At 37.7% G+C, this 21806-nt stretch overlaps 1 long non-coding RNA gene across 2 annotated transcripts in view; it reads left to right on the top strand.

Annotated features, from left to right (window-relative positions):
• Positions 1-21560, top strand: part of LOC105374069 (uncharacterized) — a 46400-nt gene extending 24840 nt beyond the window's left edge. For both annotated transcript variants that reach the window (XR_924399.4, XR_924398.4), the window contains exons 3-6: positions 11001-11077; positions 14871-14985; positions 18661-18694; positions 19837-21560. This is a non-coding gene — a long non-coding RNA (uncharacterized LOC105374069). The remainder of the gene's footprint in view (positions 1-11000; positions 11078-14870; positions 14986-18660; positions 18695-19836) is intronic.
• The last annotated feature ends 246 nt before the right edge of the window (positions 21561-21806 follow it).

Here is a 21806-nt window from a genome sequence, read left to right as displayed (position 1 = left end):
ATTGGAAGAACTAAAAAGAGAAGATTAAATAACCAGTTTCAGAAAGACCAAGAACCCAAGGTAGTTCTGGGTGTCTCAATAGCAACAATAAATGGATGGCCTGTTTAAAATGCCCTATCAGGGTAAATAAAGTCCACAAAAATTCAGTCATTTTAATAGTCATTCAAGGTGTGCGAATTGATTGGCTATATTTAGTCACAAGCCCATCCCCTGGCTAGAAGACATCAAGGCATTGTAATATGCCACTCCAATGGGGAAAGAGGTAATTTCCCAAGAGAAAAAAAACAGTGTTACAAAAAAAAAAAAAAAGAAGGATACTAGACAGCCAAAATGCATCCTTCTTTCCCTTTTGAAAATCTGAACTTTATTAAGCTATCTCCCAGTATTTATTCTATTCTTAATTCCTCAGAAATTTGTTGATGTTCTCATGATCACAGTATAAGAGACTAATAAGTGAAAGATCCTTCCTCCCCACAATATTGTCTTGCGTATTGACATGCCATGTAGCTAAAATCTTTTGACGTTATAACCATTGTTTTCTGTAGTCATCTCCAGGAGGGGTTTAACACCAACAATCATCACTAAAACAATTCATGGATGAATTTGTGAGATTAGATGGCCATAATTTATCAGCACAAAACCACATGGGAAGGAAATGAAGGACCATGAGGGCATTTTTTACTACTTTATTTTAAGTTCTGGAATACTTGTGCAGGATATGCAGGTTTGTTGCATAGGTAAACATATACCATGGTGGTTTGCTGCACCTATCAACCCATCCCTAGGTATTAAGCCCAGCATACATTAGCTCTTTTTCCTGATGCTTTCCCTCCCCCTGCTTCCCCCAGCAGCAGACCCCAGTGTGTATTCTTCCCCTCCCTGTGTCCATGTGTTCTCATTGTTCAGCTCCCGCTTATAAGCGAGAACATGCAGAGTTTGGTTTTCTGTTACTGCATTAGTTTGCAGTAACAGAGGATAATGGCTTCCAGCTCCATCCATGTCCCTGCAAAGGACATGATCTCATTCCTTTTTATGGCTGCATAGTATTCTGTGGTGTATATGAACCATATTTTCTTTACCCAGTCTATAATTGATGGGAATTTGGGTTGATTCCATGTCTTTGCTATGGCGAATAGTGCTGCAATGAACATATGTGTGCATGTATCTTTAAAATAGAATGATTTATACTCCTTTGGGTATATACCCAGTAATGTAACTGTTGGGTCAAATGGTATTTCTGGTTCTAGGTCTTTGAAGAATCACCACACACAGTCTTCCACAATTGTTGAACTAATTTACATTCCAACCAACAGTATAAAAGCATTCCTATTTCTCCACAGCCTCGCCAGTATCTGTTGTTTCTTGACTTTTTAATAATCACCATTCTGACTGGCATGAGATGGTATCTCACTGTGGTTTTGATTTGCGTTTCTCTAATGATAGTGATGTTGAGCTTTTTTTCATATGTTGGCCACATGTATGTCTTCTTTTGAGAAGTGTCTGTTCATGTCCTTTGCCCACTTTTTAATGGGGTTCTTTGGTTTTCATCTTGTAATTGTTTTTTAATTCCTTGTAGATTCTGGATATTAGACCTTTGTCAGATGGATAGATTGCAAAAATTTTCTCCTATTCTGTAGGTTGTCTGTTCATTCTGATAAAATAATTTCTTATGGTGTGCAGAAGCTCTTTAGTTTCAATTAGATCCCATTTGTCAATTTTTGCTTTTGTTGCAATTGCTTTTGACATTTTCATCATGAAACATTTCCCCATACCTATGTCCTGAGTGGTATTGCCTAGATTTTCTTCTGGAGTTTTTATACTTTGGGGTTTTACATTTAAGTCTTTAATCCATCTTGAGGTAATTGTTGTATAAGGTGTAAGGAAGGGGTCCACTTTCAGGTTTTTTGCATATGGTTAGCCAGTTCTCCCAGCACCATTTATTAAATAGGGAATCCTATCCCCATTGCTTGTTTTTGTCAGGTTTGTTGAAGTTCAGAATGTTGTAGATGTGCAGTCTTATTTCTGAGTTCTCTATTCTGTTCCATTGTCTATGTGTCTGTTTTTATAGCAGTACCATGTTGTTTTGGTTACTGTAGCCTTGTAGTACAGTTTGAAGTTGGGTAATGTGATGCCTCCAGCTTTGTTCTTTTTGCTTAGGATCGTCATGGCTATACAGGCTCTTTTTTGGCTTCATGTGAATTTTAAAATAGTTTTTTTCTAATTCTGTGAAGAATATCAATGGTATTTTAATGGAAATAGCATTGAATCTATAAATTACTTTGGGCAATATGGCCATTTTCACAATATTGATTCTTCCTATCCATGAGCATGGAATGTTTTTCCATTTGTTTGTGTCTTCTCTTTCCTTGAGCAGTGATTTGTAGTTCTCCTTGAAAAGGTCCTTCACTTCCTTGATTAGCTATATTCCTAGGTATTTTATTTTCTTTGTAGCAATTGTGAATGATAGTTGATTCATGATTGAGCTCTCTGCTTGTCTGTTCTTGGTGTGTAGGAAAGCTTGTGATTTTTGCACATTAATTTCGTATCCTGAGACTTTGCTGAAGTTGCTTATTGCTTAAGCAGCTTTTGGGCTAACACATGGGGTTTTCTAGATATACGATCATGTCATCTGCAAACAGAGACAGTTTGACTTCCTCTCTTCCTATTCGAATACGCTTTATTTCTTTCTCTTGCCTGACTGCCCTTGCCAGAACTCCCAATACTATGTTGAATAGGAGTGGTGAGAGAGGGCATCCTTGTCTTGTGCTGCTTTTCACAGGGGATGCTTTCAGCTTTTGCCCATTCAGTATAATATTGTCTGTGGGTTTGTCATAAATGGCCCTTATTATTTTGAGTTATGTTCCATCAGTACCTAGCATATTGAGAATTTTTAATGTGAAGAGATGTTGAATTTTATCAAAGGCCTTTTCTGCATCTATTGAAATAATCATGTGGTTTTTGTCTTTAGCTCTGTTTATGTTACAAATTATGTTTATTGATTTGTGTATGTTGAACCAGCCTTGCATCCCAGGGATGAAGCTGACTTGATCACGATGGATAAGCTTTTTGATGTGCTGCTGGATTCGGTTTTCCAGTATTTTATTGAGGATTTTTGCATCGATGCTTATCAGGGATATTGTCCTGAAGTTTTTTTATTGTATCTCTGCCAGGTTTTCGTATCAGGATGATGCTGGCCTCATAAAATGAGTTAGGAAGGAGTTCCCATGAGGGTATTTTTACAAGTCTGCAGCCTGGGGAACTTCCTGGAGAATAGTGATTTGGCTGGGGTTTCGGGGCAAGGCTCTAGAAGGAGGTCCTGGGCAGCATTAAGCACTACTATTATAGTTGGGGAAAGGAGCCATAGGCAAACATTTTTACAGTAAGAGTATGAACACAGAATGCTTCCTCTTATTCCACACTTGCAGCATCTGACCTTTGAAATTTGGCTACTATTGAGTTCTTCACGAGTACCACCTGTTTTTCCTACTTTGGAGAATCGGTTATAAATAAAATGAGTTACTAATATTTGGCAATGCAGTTTCAAACATGGAATAGAAAGTTTTACTGACTACTCTGCAGAGTCCTTGATGACAGATGGACCAAGCATGTGTGCATCATTTGAAAAGGCAACAGTTTGCAATGGAGGGCCAAAATCTTGTTCTGTCCACCCCGCCCCCACACACACTGCTTCTGCAGGCTGAGCTCTCTGGATAATCAGAGAGCTCTGCATATGCAAGAAAAAAACAATAGCACGAGTCTGGGGGTAGGTTTAAATTATATTTAGTTACTTTTGATTATTTAATTTTTTTAAAAGGAGATTGATGCCAAAGAGTCACTGGATGTGCTTATAATATAGAGCATTTTATAATAAAATTCTTCCAGTACAATCTCTCATGAGCACAAAATTTAGCAATCTGAACACTGCATTTACTCTCAGGCCATGAATAACTGCCACTTTCAGAATGGCCCAAATGCAGAAACAAATACAGTACAAAGATAAGAAAATGGGCTTCCATGCCAGTTTGCTAATAAATTGCCACTTCAATTCCCTAAATGAATTCCTAGTGGCCTAAGAGTTGAACTAGATTCTGAATTCCTGTCAAACTTCTGAACAGGAGCTTAGAAGCTAGTAGAAAAAGTAATAAATTATTTAGATTTTAAAAGAGTAAAGATGAAATAAAGAAAACAGTAACTGTTTATTCCATAGACCGAAGAGTTAGTTAATTTTTCTTGGAGGCAATGTGGGAAAAAATGATCCTATGCTTTGAGGAATTACTTCAAGAAGGAACTTAGAAATGCATTATATAGAATGCTGCTGATTGCAGTATAGTGGACTGAGGCAGCTGTTTGCTACAGGCTAATTTGAGGGTATAACTACATCTATGTGGGGTCATTAGAGACTACAGACTGGATCTAAACCTTAATCTAATCACATCATTCTGATTAAAATACTCCAGAGCCAAGTGCAGTGGTGCACACCTGTGATCTTAGCTCTTAGGGAGCCTGAGGCAGGAGGATCACTTGAGCTCAAGAGTTCAAGTGCAGCCTGTGCAGCATAGCAAGATGCTGTCTCTAAAATCATAATTATAATCATAATAAATGAAATACTACAGTGGCTTCTTATTGATACTAGAGTGAAGTCTAAAATCTGTAACATGACCTAAAGCATCCTGCTTTATTTGGCCCTTACCTGCTAGTCCAGCCTTTGCTCATGCTAATATGTTCTAGACACACTACCTCCTTTTATTTCTTCCAATGCCCCAAACTTCTTCTCACCCTGGGTTTTTTGCAGATACTGGCCCCTTTAACTGGGATACTAATTCTCCACTGGTTTAAGTGGCTAAATCTTAATCATCTTTCAGGCCCCATATAGCCTTCCTTAGTCTTCCCTAACTCCCACAAGAGGTCAGGTTCCCTTACTTAATTTTTTTTTTTCCCAGCACTGTCCCTTTACAGAACTCAACAGAGTCATAGTTAATTATTGGTGTGGTCAACTGCTTAGTATTTGTCTTCCCTCATATAAACTGCAGGTTTCATGACAGCAGGGAGTGCATCTGTTCTAATCATTCTATATCCCAAAACCTAGTACAGTGCCTACTAATATATGGTAGCTATTAGTGAATGAATGAATCTCAGTATTGCAATTTAGGACTCTCAATCTTAATTCAGCACTAATTCTTCCTACCCTAAATTCTAAGATAAAAAAGCCAGGATGATTATAAATTAATAATGGGTAATAATTTATAATAATGAGAGAGCAAAGGCATTTCTCAAACTGAGAAACAGATTGCTTCCAAAATTTCACTTGTACATATGTGTTTATGACTGTGGAATATGTTTTTCAATCATTTTTGGAGTCCTAGGCTAATTCAAAAGGATTGATCTAGCAAAAAACATGCTTAAGTATGGTACATTCAGTATGATTTAAACTAAATTTAACCACAATTTATAATAGTATTTCTATAGGAGAAGACATTCAGGATTCTACATAAAGATACAAGAATTTATCTTGTTTCAGCAGATTTCCCTTGACCCTCCCTCTCCCATGACAGAGGTGGCCAAGGGGTCTAAGGAAAAAGAGGTGGAAGAGGGGGACTGCTGTTGGAGTAGTCACCCATGGCCAGAGTTAATACTTCTAGACACGCATAACATTTTATTTCTTACCACTATCCTTCACTTTTCATGTGACTTGCAGTAGTAGAAAAAATAGCAGGGGTGTCACCTATGGGAAGAGTGGTACATGGAACAGGGTTATGAGTAATATGGAGAAAATACTACAATGTTACCAGTTGCTTTTAAATCAGATAGCTATTCATACATCAAGGATTACTTGTTCTCATGTCTCTTAGCTAAGACATACTTTTCCCAAAATAATAATTATAAGATTCTTCTTAAGCTTAAAGTGAGAAAGAAGGTACTTGAATAATTTATATAGAAGCCAAATGATTTATACCTACTCTGTCCAGAGAACACCTTGCTAGTGGCTGAAATTCCTGTGTTTTATCTAGGGGTCAGATACACAGTGCCTTTTTTCCATGGATGCTGCTAGCTAAATACTTACAATTTCTTTACTTTGCCTCTCTTCATTTTTAATATTTGCTATTGGCCTACCAAATGCTTCAGTCATTACAACCTAAATATACTTTCCAAGGTTAGAGTTTATTCTCTATCATCATATTTTAGATTGGCTTAAATTTGATGAGATGTTAGGAAAAAAAAACACTTTAAAGTTACCACCAACCTTTTTAAATTATATTTAAAGTGGATCTCCTTTTGTGAAGTTGTTTTCAAATAATCCTATCCACTGTGTGTTGATTTCTGTGCCTCATCCCTAAATTCAAAGCTGGGATGTCTTTGAATGTTTGGAGTCTTTTATGTTGAGAGTCTTTTAACATTTATCCTCTTCCTACATTTCTCCTGTCTCATTTTCCACACTCATTGTCTTAAGTCTAGGTTAAAATTACATGTGAAGCTAGAGGAGACCGGAAGTTGGTGTGAGGGTTCGAGGTGGCAGGTAACTGAAGTAAATTCCTATAGAAGAGGGCCTTAGAAGCAGCGATCTAATTGATTAAAAAAAAGTCAGGGGAGCTTCTCTTAAAGTTGTGATTTTGGAGTGAGCACACTTTTTTCCTAGACTATCTGTTTGTTTAAGGGTGGCTTCAGAGTGGGTTTGGCCCTTTTGATTGATTTTTTTGTTTTTTCTTTCCCTACTTTTGAGAGAATTGATATGGGTAAGGAAAAAACTTTTTCCTCTACCATAAGGAACATCAGCAGTCCAAGTGTGATAATAAATGGCAAATGACATTGTTCTTAGGGAGAAAAAAGGAGTGATAGGAACATGATAAAATGGAAAGTGCCCCATTTAAAAGACGCAGCTGCTTCTTGGTTCAAGTGGATGATTGTTATGTGGGAATGTTGGCAGTATGTTATCAGTGTTTTCTATTTTTCTAAAGAAGCCAGAAATCCAGACTTTTATGTGAGCTCTCCCAATTTTTTTCAGCGTTGGCTCAAACTAATGCTTTTTGTGACTCTACAAGACAGTATGGCATCTTTCTTTTTTTTCAGGAGACACTGACATCCGTTCTATCTCACTGACTCATTTGGTGGGAACAAGAAGTCCACATGCCAATGCAAATAAAGAAGGGAGAAGAGGTTCAGGAAGAGGGGGGAGCGGGGGAGACATTCTGCAATGTATAAAGATAATGAGCATTGGTGCTTTATTTTTTACCAAAATATATATGTTTCACCAAGATCAATTCTTGAGATGTCAAAAACATGTATGTTAGTGAGAAACTTACAATTTTAAAAAGAAATGCTATAACCTTTAAAACAGGAAATGAAGAAGGAATATTGATATATAGAACTGTGATAAATCTGGAAAGATTCTGCTCATTTTTAAAAATTGTTTTAAAAATACCTTTTATAGAGACAGGGTCTCACTATGCTGGAGTGCAGTGGCATGATTATAGCTCACTGTAACCTCTAACTCCTGGGCTTAAGTGAACTCCCACCTCAGCCTCCCTAGTAGCAGGGACTACAGGCACGTGTCACCATGCATAGCTAAAGATATGCCCTTATAAGGAATTGATGTTGGTTAATGGCAAAAATACAGAGAAATGTATTGTATGACAAACAACAAAATTCAAGATACTGCTTATCTGGGATACAATCTCAGAGGGGTACCAAAAGTCTTATTTTGTTGGTGTTTTATTTCTTAAGGTGGGTGGAAATGTGAGTGTACAATATAAATTGTTAAAAATGTTTTATATATCTGAATTATTTCATAAGTACATTTTAAAAGAATAAATGTTAGTTCTTTGTCAGACCTGTGAATGTTTTTTTTTTCTGCCAAACAGTTATATTTTCTTTTCAAGGCCAAGAAGGAAAAGACTCTTAGGCTTTTCTTCCTGTGCTAAAAATCTCTCAGCCTCTGCCAGAAAAATGACAGGGGTCTGAGCTGAAAAGTACATTTCAGCTTGTCATGAAGGTTGAGGAGTTATCAGAAATGTGCTAGCTAATAGCACAGAGAGGACTCCAACAATTGAACCCTAGATTTCTGTTTGCTCCCTAAACCTAACCAGGGATGTTTATAGAATGACATTGCTCAGGTGTTTGCTGTGATTTCTAGAAGAAAGTGATTAAGATGGATTAGTAATTCCTGAAAAATACCAGGCTCCACATTAGGCATATCATCATCATCATCATCAACAATTAACATCCATGTAACATTTAACAGTATACAAAAAGACTTTACACACACTTTCTTTTTTTGTTTGTTTGTTTGTTTTTTATTATTATACTTTAAGTTCTAGGGTACATGTGCACAATGTGCAGGTTTGTTACATATGTATACATGTGCCATGTTGGTATGCTGCACCCATTAACTTGTTATTTACATTAGGTATATCTCCTAATGTTTTCCCTCTCCCCTACCCCCACCCCACGACAGGCCCCGGGACACACACTTTCTTATCTCTGCCTCAGAACAACCCTAGAAAGAACAGACAATAAGTATTATTATATCCATTGTGTGGCTGAGAAAACTGAGGATCAGAGTGATTTTTCCCAAGGTCAATGAGCTATTGTCAGAGCACTGACCTAAAACCCTTCTGATTCCAAACATTTGCTCTTTCTTCATATGCTCTGGTTTAGCTCAATGGTTCAGCTACCCTAACTCCAATACGGAGTGACATTTGATGAGGCGGTTCCAAGATTCTAACCCTCCAAAATTAAGAATTAATTAAATATCTCTAATCCTCCTAATAGGTTGATGGGGATACATAGCCATGACTTTACCAAAATTTTCTAGACAATTACCCACCAGTCACTTTTCTTTTCCAATCCCACAGTCAAGTCTGTGTATCTGTCTTAGGCTATGGGTTTAGCAATGTAAACAAAAAAATAAAATTCTAAGCCCCTTGGTTGACTGATGGACCCTCCCCTTAGCCAAGGGCATTTCAAAGTCAACCCGAAAAACTAGTTCAGACCATAATGGGAAGGGGAGTTGGACATGCCTCATTATTTCCTCCCTTTTGGAATTCTGGCACAGCTGACTAGCATTAGTACTAAAATAGACCTTAAGACTGACAAAACAGACTTTGTAACAACGAGATACCAAATTCTAGCCTGACTCTAGTACAGCATCACATGACAGATAGCAGGCCCTGAAAGAAATTGAAGTGTTTTACCTCAAATTATGTTCCTTTGCCATATCTTGAAATAGTCCTGCAAAGCTGTCTCTTGTGGGAAAAATCTACATTCTGAAGAGAATCCCCTTACTTTTCCAGGCCTTTTTCCTGATTCAGGAAAGAATCAGCTGTGATAAGAAACGTTTACAATGTATTCCCTCTGAAGCCTGCTACCTGGAGGCTTCCTCTGCATAACCCACAACTCTTCTTCTTAACCCAGACATTCCCATCTATTGATTCTAGGTCTTTGGACAGTAACTTAACCTTTCAGCCAATTGCCAATCAGAAAATCTTTGCATCTACCTATAATTTGGAAGCCCCCACTTCGAATTGTCGTGCCTTTCCAGACCAAACCAATGTACATCTTACATGTATTAATTGATGTCTTATGTCTCCCTAAAATGTATAAAACCAAGCTATAGCCCGACCACCTTGGTGGATCTCCTGACAGTTGTGTCACAGGCCATTGGTCACTCATATATGGCTCAGAAGAAATCTCTTCAAATATGTTAAAGCAAATATTTTATAGCATTTAACTCTTCATCTACAGCTGTGCCCCAGACTTGATGACCAATCCTGTTCTTAATCCTGAATAACTACAAAAAAAGCCTCACATGTAAGAATAATATCTCAGTCTGTCAGTCCCATCTGATATAGTATCTATGTTCTTGTAAACATGCTTTTGCCTGTGAAAGGAAAATAAAACCTAAGGATTCCAAACTCACTATGCCAAAGGGAAAAGTCAAGCTGGGAACTAGGTCATGTAAACCTGCCTCCCATTTTGTTCCTAAATAGATAGCTACAAAGATAAAAGGCTACATATCTCCCTCACAATTTGCTCACCAGAAAATTCCCTGTGAACCCCAAGATCTTTATCCTAAAACAAATCTGTCGAATTTCACCCTGACAATGTAAATTGACAGCTTATTGTCACAGCCACAGGACAAACGAGAAAACTAAAAGTCATCCCTCCGTTCACCAGAGACAAGTGCATATCTGACTGCTTCCTCAACTCTTTTTTTATCATATGTAAAAATACAGAGTTACTGAGCACAAGATGAATGCATAATTGCCTGTTCTTCTACCCGCTCCTTTCACATATAAGATGTGGATTCAGTGAACACTAATTGAAGACTCAAGAGAATGCAACAGCTGCCCCCTTTATCTACCCTTCCCTCTTTTTATTTTCCTTCTTCTTTCTCCTACTGCCTGCTCTTCCCCCTAAATATTGAAGTTCCCAGATCCTCTGTGGAAAAAGCATGAATCACAGATTGTTCCTGTGTTTTGTTTTGTTTTGGGGGGGTTTTCTTGTTTGGTTGGTTGGTTGGGTGTTTTGTTTTGTTTTGTTTTGCTTTGCTTTGCTTTGCTTTGCTTTGCTTTGCTTTGCTTTGCTTTGCTTTGCTTTGCTTTGCTTTGCTTTGCTTTGCTTTGCTTTGCTTTGTTTTTTGAGATGGAGTTTCACTCCTGTTGCCCAGGCTGGAGTACAATGGTGCGATCTTGGCTCACTGCAACCTCCGCCTCCTGGATTCAAGCAATTCTCCAGCCTCAGCCTCCCAGGTAGCTGGGTTTACAGGTGTGCACCACCACTCCCAGCTAATTTTGTATTTTGTATGTGTGTGTTCCTTTTTCCTGAGTGTGTCCTTAACCTTGGCAAAATAAACCTCTAAAATGATTGAAATTCACCTCAGTATTTTCTTTGATTTGCAGCCTATAAAACATTTTTTTAAAAATTTGCACAGGTTTTGTTTTTAAGTAACTGGCAACAGCATTTCTTAACTAAATGGTTTTCACTCATTGTTCTCATCTTCACAGTTCTGCCATTAAACTGAATATCCAAATGTGCATAAATCCTGAATCCTAGGCTATTCTGGCCAATCAGCAAGAGAAAGGTATGCACTGGAATCTGGCGTGAGTTTTAAATATGTTTCAATATGTTCTCTACTCTTCTGTCTCTATGTATTGGCCAAGTGTTTGAATGTTTTTGAAAATCTGACTAATGAAGGCTTAAATATACAGTGGTTTATTTTTCCCATATTACAGAGAGCCTAGAGATAAATGTTTCTCTCTGCTGGTATTAGTTAATCTTCTCAACAATGCCAGAAGCCTAAGCTCTTTCTATTTTTCAGCTTTATCATCCAAATCATGTTGGATTTTATCCTCATGCTTAGTGCCTCATAGTAGCAAAATGGCCTCTGAAGCTATAGACTCCATATCTGCATTCAAAGTAAGAAGAATACTTTGGGGGCTGGAAGTAGGGGAGAACAGTGTCAACAGCATCTGTTCCTTTTTATTTAAAAAAAATCACCAGAAATTTCATCAACAGATTTCACCTTAGGTCTCATTGGAGAGAACTGGATCATGTGGCTACCCCAAGCTGAAAAGAATAGGAAAGGAAAGGTGTCATAATTGGCATACCAGTCATCAGGCTTCTGTAGCAAGAAAGAAACAAATAATAGATTTAGAACATATAGCTAATTTCATTTGCCTTAAATATGCAATCTGAAACCATATTTTTTTGCAATCCTTTAGCAAAGAGGTAAGGTAAAAAAATCCAATAATTTCTTATAAATAAAAGAAATATAGAAGTTTAGTAAATTTTGAATACTTATTTCTCCTTGTTCTCTCCTATCCATGCCATAATTAATTTTAGTGAAAATCAGCAGCAGCAGACTTTCTTCTAGTTGAGGAAGGTCAATGAAGTGTGAAAATCTTAGGCTCTTTATTCACATAGAGAATATTCTAGTATGTGATCTTTCTGTCTCTGTCTCTCTTTCTCTCTCCCTCCCACTCATTTTCTCTTCCCTCTTTTCTTTCTGAAAATTCATTCATTTTTCTATTTCCAGGATGATTTCTATGGGCTACTCTAAAGTCCATCATACCCTAATTAGGAGAGAAAGTGGTGATCACTTCGCACACAAAAAAACCTTGGCCTAAGATGGAGATCCATTGTATTCAATAACTACAAATTGTTTTATATTAATGCTATAGAGATGACAAGTTTCTCTTGGCAATATTTTTCTCATAAGTAGACAACTATTGCCTTTTGTGGTCTTGTAACAAAGTGCACCTACCATTACTGGACATGTCAACTGACACTTTGAACAGGTTTGAATTGCCTAGAGCTCTGAAAATTGATAAGAAAAATTAGAGCCTATTTCAGCTTTTCAAAAGCTCAAGTATCAAAATGTAAACCTCTCTTTGTACTAACTTCCTTGTCCCAAAATGCTGATTTGGTCTTTCAAGTTGTTTGCTTGTTTAGATGTAAGAATTTCCCAGTTTTCATAGTTTCTGCTCTGTCAAATAAAGGAATAAAATGTACTTTCTAAATTTAATCATATATGTTTAATCTCTGGAAACTGAAATGTGAATTCTCTAAGCTTCAATGTTAAAACCCATTGATTTAACATTCAACAGATATTTTGGGGTGTTTACACATTGTGTACAGACACTGTAATAAGAACAAAAGATAAAATAGTGAATAAGATATTGGTGTCTGCCCTTACCAAGCTTATAGTAGAGTACAGAAGACAGATATTTTCAACCAGAGAAGGTTTCCCAAAGTTATGTCAACAAAAACCTTGAGTCACTTAAGGATAGCAATGCCAGCTGCTGAAACAACCCCAAGTTCTCCACAGTTCCACACACTAATGATTTATTCTTGCTCATGTTACAGTCAAATGAAAGTCCCAGGCACCTTTCTTAGGACTCTGTTCTCCTCAAAGTCCTCTGAGTCCTTTCCAGTCAGATGGGTGGATGGAGAGGTTGAGGAAGGTTTGGTTTCTTGTGGCAGGTTTTTTTAATGGGCTTGTGGCAGGCATACCACTTCCACTCACATTTTATTTAGTCATATGATCACACCTAACTGCAAGGAAGACTAGGAAATGTAGTCTAGCCACGTGCCAAGGATAAAGAAGGAAAGATGGATACTGGTGAGCACAAGTAGTTTGCCTGCCCAAACCTGAGAGGTGGGTAGAAATTAGCCATAAAATCTGAAAGAAGAGAGAAGTAGGAAAGAGGCAATGAAGAAAGTTACAGACAGAGAAAACATAAAGTGCAAGACTCAGAGGTGAGACAGCATGACATTTGGGAGCTAAAAGTTGTTCATTGGGGCTCAAATATGGAATTCAAATTGGAAAAGCAAATGACAAGAAGATTATGAACATCTTCATAGACCATTTTAAGGAAAGTTGGCTTTATACAAAAAAACTGGGTACCATTAAAGGTTTGAATCTTAGCAATGAAATTATCAGGTTAGATATTTAGAAAAACAGTAATTGCTGTGTATGGAAAAGAAATTGGAAGAAATAAGGGAGAGCTAGATAGGAAAAAAATTAAGAAGCTGCTTTAATAGTCCAGGTGAAGGAGCTTGAACTAGGTCAATGTCACAGTAAGTTGAGGGAAAAAATTATTTTTTTGTTTGGGAGATATTTAGGAGGCAGAATTAAAATAATACAATTTCTGATTAGATGTGGGTTGCATGTAGCATTAACCTGCAACATTTTGGGATTTTTTCTGTATTGTAGCTAGGTCTACTTACTTGTTTATCTAGGTAAGCGAGAGCAAACACTCTTACATCATATAACTACCCATTTATCAATCTTTGAAATGAGACTAGGGTGTTCCCAACACAAAGATCAAGATATCACCAATATATTCCACTTGGAATTATAAATGCAATTTGGGACTTGAACTCCTTGTCCAAGGCCATTTGCCAGACATCATTATATAAGTCAGTAACTGAGATGAATTAGGAAGTTCTCAATTGACTCTGGGCATCTGATATCTCATTTATTTCATTTCACATATTTCTAAAATTTATAGAATTTCCCAAATTAAAACAAGTTTATCTGTCCTATCACAAATTGGCTTATGTATTGGTCTGGAGTGAGTGTTTAATTTTGTCACTAGCTGAAGAAGTTGAGGACATCTTCATCAGATAAGAAGCAAGAGGCACCAATGGCTTTGGCTTGCACAGGCCTTGCCATCACGTTTCTGGAATTATTTGCTTGGCAGAACCCCAGACTGTGTCCTGGGACCTACTACCTTAGGACATTTTGTTTTGTAATATCAAATCACAAAGATGTTACTCGCCAAGACTCACACTGTTGTCCACCTGGCCAGGCCTGACCATTTTACAAATTGAAAGTAGTGGACAGAAGATGTTATGGAAAATAGGCTATGCCCACAAGTTCATCATTAGGAGTAACTGCCTGCTGGATTCTAAAACTCCCTGGTGTGTTCCCTACTCTGCTCCTGATCAGTGATCCTGAGTGACATCTTGTTGTTCCTGGTTCTATTTCTTCATTCCTCTCTCCCTTAGACGTAGCTAGTACCTTCTTACTTCCTCATGAATCCCATTCGCTTCCTTGTGCACCACATGTATTCTGATGCCACACTCTGACCTCCAATCTTTCTGAATCTGGTTTCTGGCTCTTCCCCAGGAGGGAAGTATGTATTTCTTTCAGGTGCTGTACTTCTATCCCATCGTGGAGCTTCCCTTACCCTCTGGAGAGCGTCTACCTTACACCTACCGTTCTGACTTCACCTCTACCCACCTCTTTTGCTCTCTGCAACTGGAATTATCTGTTGGACCCCATCTGTTGCTCCAACTGTAATACCACTTGTTTTCTAGTCCTGTAAGATGTGATCATATGGCTAACTTCATATATTTCTTCTTTTTAGATTTGAGATTTAAGAAATTTGCAGCAACAAGAATTGACTGATGGCAACTACTATTTCTTAATAAGAGTATTTTACTTATGTTCTCTGGTTCTTGAGATTCAAAATGTATTTTGAGGTGAGTTTATTCTACTCATTTAGTTGACAAATATTAGCTAAAACTGCACTATCTGAGCCAGATGCAGTGATTGCTAATGTCATGGTTTTAAAATATTATGAAGTTCATATCTCTGCACTTAAGCTCAGAAGGTACTGTCTTAGGGGGGTTGCCCCTGTTTTTCTGAGTGCAGTAAGATCCTCAATAACTATTGCTATTTCTTGAAGAATCATTTTTAACTCTCAAAGGAAATTTTTACTTCACTCTATCAAGTTTTACTGCAATGTTTCAGTGTTACTTATTCATTTTTCCCCCGATTCTTTTTTAAATAGAAGAAACTCTTTAAATTATTATTATACTTTAAGTTCTAGGGTACATGTGCACAATGTGCAGGTTTGTTACATAGGTATATATGTGCCATGTTGGTTTGCTGCACCCATTAACTCGTCATTTACATTAGGTGTTTCTCCTAATGCTATCCCTCTCCCTGCCCCCACCCCACAACAGGCCCCCATGTGTGATGTTCCCCACCGTGTGTCCAAGTGTTTTCATTGTTCAGTTCCCACCTATGAGTGAGAACATGCGACATCATGCTACTATAAAGACACACGCACACGTAGGTTTATTGCGGCACTATTCACAATAGCAAAAACTTGGAACCAACCCAAATGTCCATCAATGATAGACTGGATTAAGAAAATGTGGCACATATATACCATAAAATACTATGCAGCCATAAAAAAGGATAAGTTCATATCCTTTGCAGTGACATGGATGAAGCTGGAAACCATCATTTTGAGCAAACTATCACAAGGACAGAAAACCAGAAGAAACTTCTAAAAATAGTTTTTCAATAAACTATTCTTTGTTATAAGTAATTTTTACATATTTTATAACTTCCATTTTCCTAAATATCTTTTATGGCGTTCAACTTCATGATGACATGATGAAGCAAATTTAGGCCATGTGATGTAAAGTCCTTTGAAGGCAAAAGGAGACATGCATATGATCTTCCAAAATGCTTTCAAGTTAGTTACGTCATTATTCAACAGAGCAAATATCTTCCCATTCTCTGCCTACTGCAGGACAGCACACATTTCACAATTAACTCAGTCTCCTGAGTGCTGTCCTCTTCTGTTTCAGGGTGTCTCCTACAAAAAATAATTGGACATGTTTTTGACCATTTTATGTTTTCTTATTCCTGAATATTTATCCATTTACCAATAAGTACTATAAGACACAATGCCTCACTGATTCTTCCTTTCAAGATCCCATTACTTGTTTATATTTTGAATCTAAAATGAGACTTGGCCAGGCGCGGTGGCTCATGCATGTAATCCCAGCACTTTGGAAGGCTAAGGCCAGGAATCGCTTCAGCCCAAGAATTCAAGACCAGCCTGGGCAACATGGCAAAACCTTTTCTCTACAAAAAATAAAAAAAAAAATTAGCCGGATGTGGTCCCGTGTTTGTGGTCCCAGCTGCTTAGGAGGCTGAGGTGTGAGGATCGCTTGAGGCCAGGAAGTGGAGGTTTCAGTGAGCTGAAATTGTGCCACTGCACTCTAGCCTGGGCAAGAGACAGACCCTGTCTCAAAAAAAAATAATAATAAAAATAAAATGAGCCTTGCTTTAAAAATAACATGTGCTGGAAAAATTAAATGGTGGGCTTAAGAATTTAAAACACCTTAAGAATAGTTACTACTTATTGAATACCTAACGTGTACAATGCATCGTGTTAGGTGCATTTAAAGATTTTATTATTAATCCTCACAGTAAAAGGTATGTCTTATTATCTCCATTTTGTAGATAAAAAAGAGGTAACTGAAGCTCAGAAAGGTTTAATAATTTATCTAAGGTCACACAGCTAAAAAGTAACAGAATCAGAATTTGCAGTCAAGTCTGATTCCAACACCTAGGCAAATTCTATTACACCATGTTGCATCTAATGCATGTTAATTCTAAGTTTTGAAGTAGTGGCGAAATGAATTAATTGGAATAAGCCTAGGAGAACAGGAAGAACTTTCAGGGTAGGATAAAGGCTGGCATCTAAATATGAGGGCATGCCCAGGAATTTTTTATTTTAAGATGCATTGGATTTTTATTGCTGCCTTAACAAATTACCACAAACTTGGTGGCTTAAGTCAATTCAAATTTACTTATAATTCTGTAGTTCAGGAGTCCAACATGGGTCTCACTGGACCAAAATCAAGGTGTCAGCTTGGTTGTGTAGCTTTCTGGAAGCCATAGAAAATAATCCATCTTCCTGCCTTTTCCATCTATAGAGGCCACCTGCATTCCTTGGTTTGAAGCCCCCTTCTTGCATCTTCAAAGCCAGTAACAAAGCATCTTTTTAACCCTGCTTCCATTGGCACATATCTTCCTCTGTCTTCTTTCACCTCCTTCTTTCAGTTTTAAAAGCTTGATTACATTGGGCCCAATTGGATAATCCAGGATAATCTCCCTATTTTAAAGGCAGTTGATTAGCAAACTTGATTCCATCTGCAACTTTGATTCCTTTTTGCCATGGAACCTAACATATGTGTAGATTCTGGGGAGTAGGACTTGGATGTCTTCGGGAAACCATTATTCTGCCCACCACACAGAGCTAGACACAATGAGATGTAAATCTCAGAGTAAATATAGACCTAGGACATTAGTGTCCTAAAAAGAGGGCAGGAAGATCATGAGTACAGTCAGGTGAAGTTCAAATCAAATCTAAGAAGGGTGTGTAGTAAAATAAGCAATCAAAGGTAAATCATGTATAGGCCATTGGCAGAAATCAAGCAGGGCATTTGGAAATTAGGACAAGAGTTAATAAGCTGTTATGGGTTGAATGGGCTGAATTGTGTATCCCCAAAATTGATACATTGAAGTTCTAAGCCCCAGTTTCTCAGATGTGACCTTATTTAGGAATAGTATCCCTGCAGATGTAATCAGTTAAGATGAGGTCATAATGAAGTACAGTGTGCTCCTAATCCAACATGACTGATATCCTTATAAAGAGAGAACACCACGTGAGCCTGAAGGCAGAGATCAAGGTGATGCCTCTACAGGTCAAAGAATGTTAAAGATTGCCAGCAAACCACCAGAAACTAAGGGAAAATTGTGGAGCAGATTCTCTCTCATAGCCCTCAGAAGGAACCAACCCTGGTGACACTTTAGACTTCTAGCTTTTAGAACTGTAAGACAATAAATTTCTGTTTTTCAAGCTATCCAGTTTGTGGTACTGTGTTATAGCAGCCCTGGCAAACTAATACATAAGCTTCAGAGAATAACATGAGAGCTGAAGAAATTGGCAGAAAGCTCAGTCAATGGTGTAATTAGGAGATAGGAAATAAACACAACCAGGAACAGATGCGACACCAGGGTTAGAGAGGGGCCAGCAACAAATCGGACTTGATCTCAAATTAACAAATTGGGTAGGACTTATTCCAAGACCCTGAAAGGAAGCAGAGCCTGGTTTTGGGACAAAGGAGCTGGCCGGGTTAAGAAGCCAGTCAGGTGCGCTGCCAGTGAGCAGCATAGCCCTGTGACAAATACATTCTTCTTACAAGTGCTTGGTCAATTTATTGACTGATTCTCTGTGGTTACCTTGCCTACAAATGAAGGCCGCTGAAAGGTTTTTGTGTATTCATTTGTTTTAAATATTTGGTTACTCAAGGAAGTTAATTGGCTACCTCTCTCTGTTCACTTTGCAGAAGCAGCAACAGGAGAACATCTGGAGAGAGAAGGGTGAGAAATGCAACTTGTCTTTTGTGTGGTTCTTCCTCTCTTATATCTATGAAAGATTTCTTTTTTAAAAATAAACTTCAATGAACTTCTTACATACAAAAATGCACTTGGTCATCCCAGTAGCAGTGGAATTGTACATTTTGGACAGTATATGAATCTTTCTTTTTCCTCATTAGCATTAAATTTCTTTGAATTATACATGCAAGAAATTGGTTTCACCATTCTGCTGTAGGGTAAACAAAGAAAAACATAGATAATTGGCTACTTTGCATATAAATGCCAACCTACAGCACATACCAATGTAGAGATGGGTTAAATGTAAACAAATTTCTAGTCTTACAAGTTTCACTTCACTGCCAAGGTCAAGCAGGTGATTATACAATAACACCACATAAGTAAAACTTCAATGGCAATTTATATAAGCTAGGAAGACATGCTAATGTTGTTGAAATATGGTCCAGTATTCACACTCATATATATTTAAACCCTTGCCTATCAATGATCTTTAAATTCCTTTGTGGAAATCCATATTCTAATTGCCATATTTTTGTTTTTAGATTTATTTATTCTTTTTTCTCTCTTTCTTTCTCTTCCTCCTTTCTCTCTCTCTCTCTCTCTCTTTCTCTCTCCCTCTCTCGCTCTCTCATGTGTTTTAAGTATTAGGGCAATATGCTTCTTGATTCCAGTCCCTAAGGGGCAGATTTCTGCTGCAACCACTATTTACCCCCAAGCTTCAAGTCTTAATCAGCAGAATAGGAAAACTTCCCAACTTTTAAATTAGAACTCTATAAGCAAAGAAATCTCTTCATTCTTTCTTCTTCTCAGCTTGGGAAAATGGATGGGTATCCTGATTTTTACTTTTGTATTTGAGAACTATACTGTGTTGCTTGTCAACTGACATTGTGCAGATTGTTACATAAGAAAATATTCTTTGGAGTTTGGGAAATGCAAGTGCTAGAGAGCAATAGAGAAAAACTTCATTCTGAACTTTTTATTAATATTTTAAACAATTTTATTTTTAGTATATATTTTTAAATTCTGTATTTAGAAAATAACTATTTAATTTTTCCTTCCCATACCCCTTCATTCTGACTCATCTCTCCTACAAATCATGTGAACACTCTCGGCAATCTTCTTTTCAGAGATTCTCTCTTAGAAGGGAAATCAAAGAGGAAACAAACAAATGGAAGAACATTCCATGCTCATGGATAGGAAGAATCAATATTGTGAAAATGGCCATACTGCCCAAGGTAATTTATAGATTAAATGCCGTCCCCATCAAGCTACCAATGACTTTCTTCACAAAATTGGAAAAAACTACTTTAAAGTTGATATGGAACCAAAAAAGAGCCTGCACTGCCAAGACGATCCTAAGGCAAGAGAACAATGCTGGAGGCATCATGCTACCTGACTTCAAACTATACTACAAGGCTACAGTAACCAAAACAGCATGGTACTGGTACCAAAACAGAGATATAAACCAATGGAACAGAACAGAGGCCTCAGAAATAACACCACACATCTACAACTATCTGATCTTTGACAAACCTGACAAAAACAAGAAATGGGGAAAGGATTCCCTATTTAATAAATGGTGCTGGGAAAACTGGCTAGCCATCTGTAGAAAGCTGAAACTGGATCCCTTCCTTACACCTTATACAAAAATTAATTCAAGATGGATTAAAGACTTAAATGTTAGACCTAAAACCATAAAAACCCTAGAAGAAAACCTAGGCAATACCATTCAGGACATAGGCATGGACAAGAACTTCATGACTAAAACACCAAAAGCAATGGCAACAAAAGCCAAAATTGACAAATGGGATCTAATTAAACTAAAGAGCTTCTGCACAGCAAAAGAAACTATCATCAGAGTGAACAGGCAACCTACAGAATGGGAGAGAATTTTTACAATCTACCCATCTGACAAAGGGCTAATATCCAGAATCTACAAAGAGCTTAAACAAATTTACAAGAAAAAAATCAAACAACCCCATCAAAAAGTGGGCAAAGGATATGAACAGACACTTCTCAAAAGAAGACATTTATGTAGCCAACAGACACATGAAAAAATGCTCATCATCACTGGCCATCAGAGAAATGCAAATCAAAACCACAATGAGGTACCATCTCACACCAGTTAGAATGGCAATCATTTAAAAGTCGGGAAACAACAGGTGCTGGAGAGGATGTGGAGAAATAGGAACACTTTTACACTGTTGGTGGGACTGTAAACTAGTTCAACCATTGTGGAAGTCAGTGTGGTGATTCCTCAGGGATCTAGAACTAGAAATACCATTTGACCCAGCCATCCCATTACTGGTTATATACCCAAAGTATAATAAAACATGCTGCTATAAAGACACATGCACACGTATGTTTATGGTGGCACTATTCACAATAGCAAAGACTTGGAACCAACTATGATAGACTGGATTAAGAAAATGTGGCACATATACACCATGGAATACTATGCAGCCATAAAAAATGATGAGTTCATGTCCTTTGTAGGGACATGGATGAAGTTGGAAACCATCATTCTGAGCAAACTATCGCAAGGACAGAAAACCAAACACCACATGGTCTCACTCATAGGTGGGAATTGAACAATGAGAACACTTGGACACAGGGTGGGGAACATCACACACCGGGGCCTGTCGTGGGTTAGGGGTAGGGGGAGGGATAGCATTAGGAGATATACCTAATGTAAATGACGAGTTAATGGGTGTAGCACACCAACATGGCACATGTATACACATGTAACAAAGCTGCATGTTGTGCACATGTACCCTAGAACTTAAAGTATAATTTTAAAAAAAAAGAAGGGGAATAAAAAACAAAAATAAAAGAATACATTTTTCTGACATTTCAAGGAATGGGATCTCTAGGTAGGAGGAGACAACTGACCACCCCACCCCAACTCTGTGTCCTTGGGGTTCACCTTCCCATTGATGCCCCCATTCTGAATCCTCAGGGGTCTACAATAAAACTCCAACCAAAATAGGAAGAAAACCCCTTTCCTTGGTTTCCTTTGGCATGGCTTAGGCAGGATAGAACCTTCAGTACAACTCTACTATAGGAAGGGACGAGGAGAAAGGGAAATAAAAGAGTA

Source organism: Homo sapiens, chromosome 3 (genome assembly GCF_000001405.40).
Source record: "Homo sapiens chromosome 3, GRCh38.p14 Primary Assembly".
Classification (NCBI taxonomy): Eukaryota; Metazoa; Chordata; class Mammalia; order Primates; family Hominidae; genus Homo; species Homo sapiens.
This window is presented reverse-complemented; position numbering and strand designations above follow the sequence as displayed.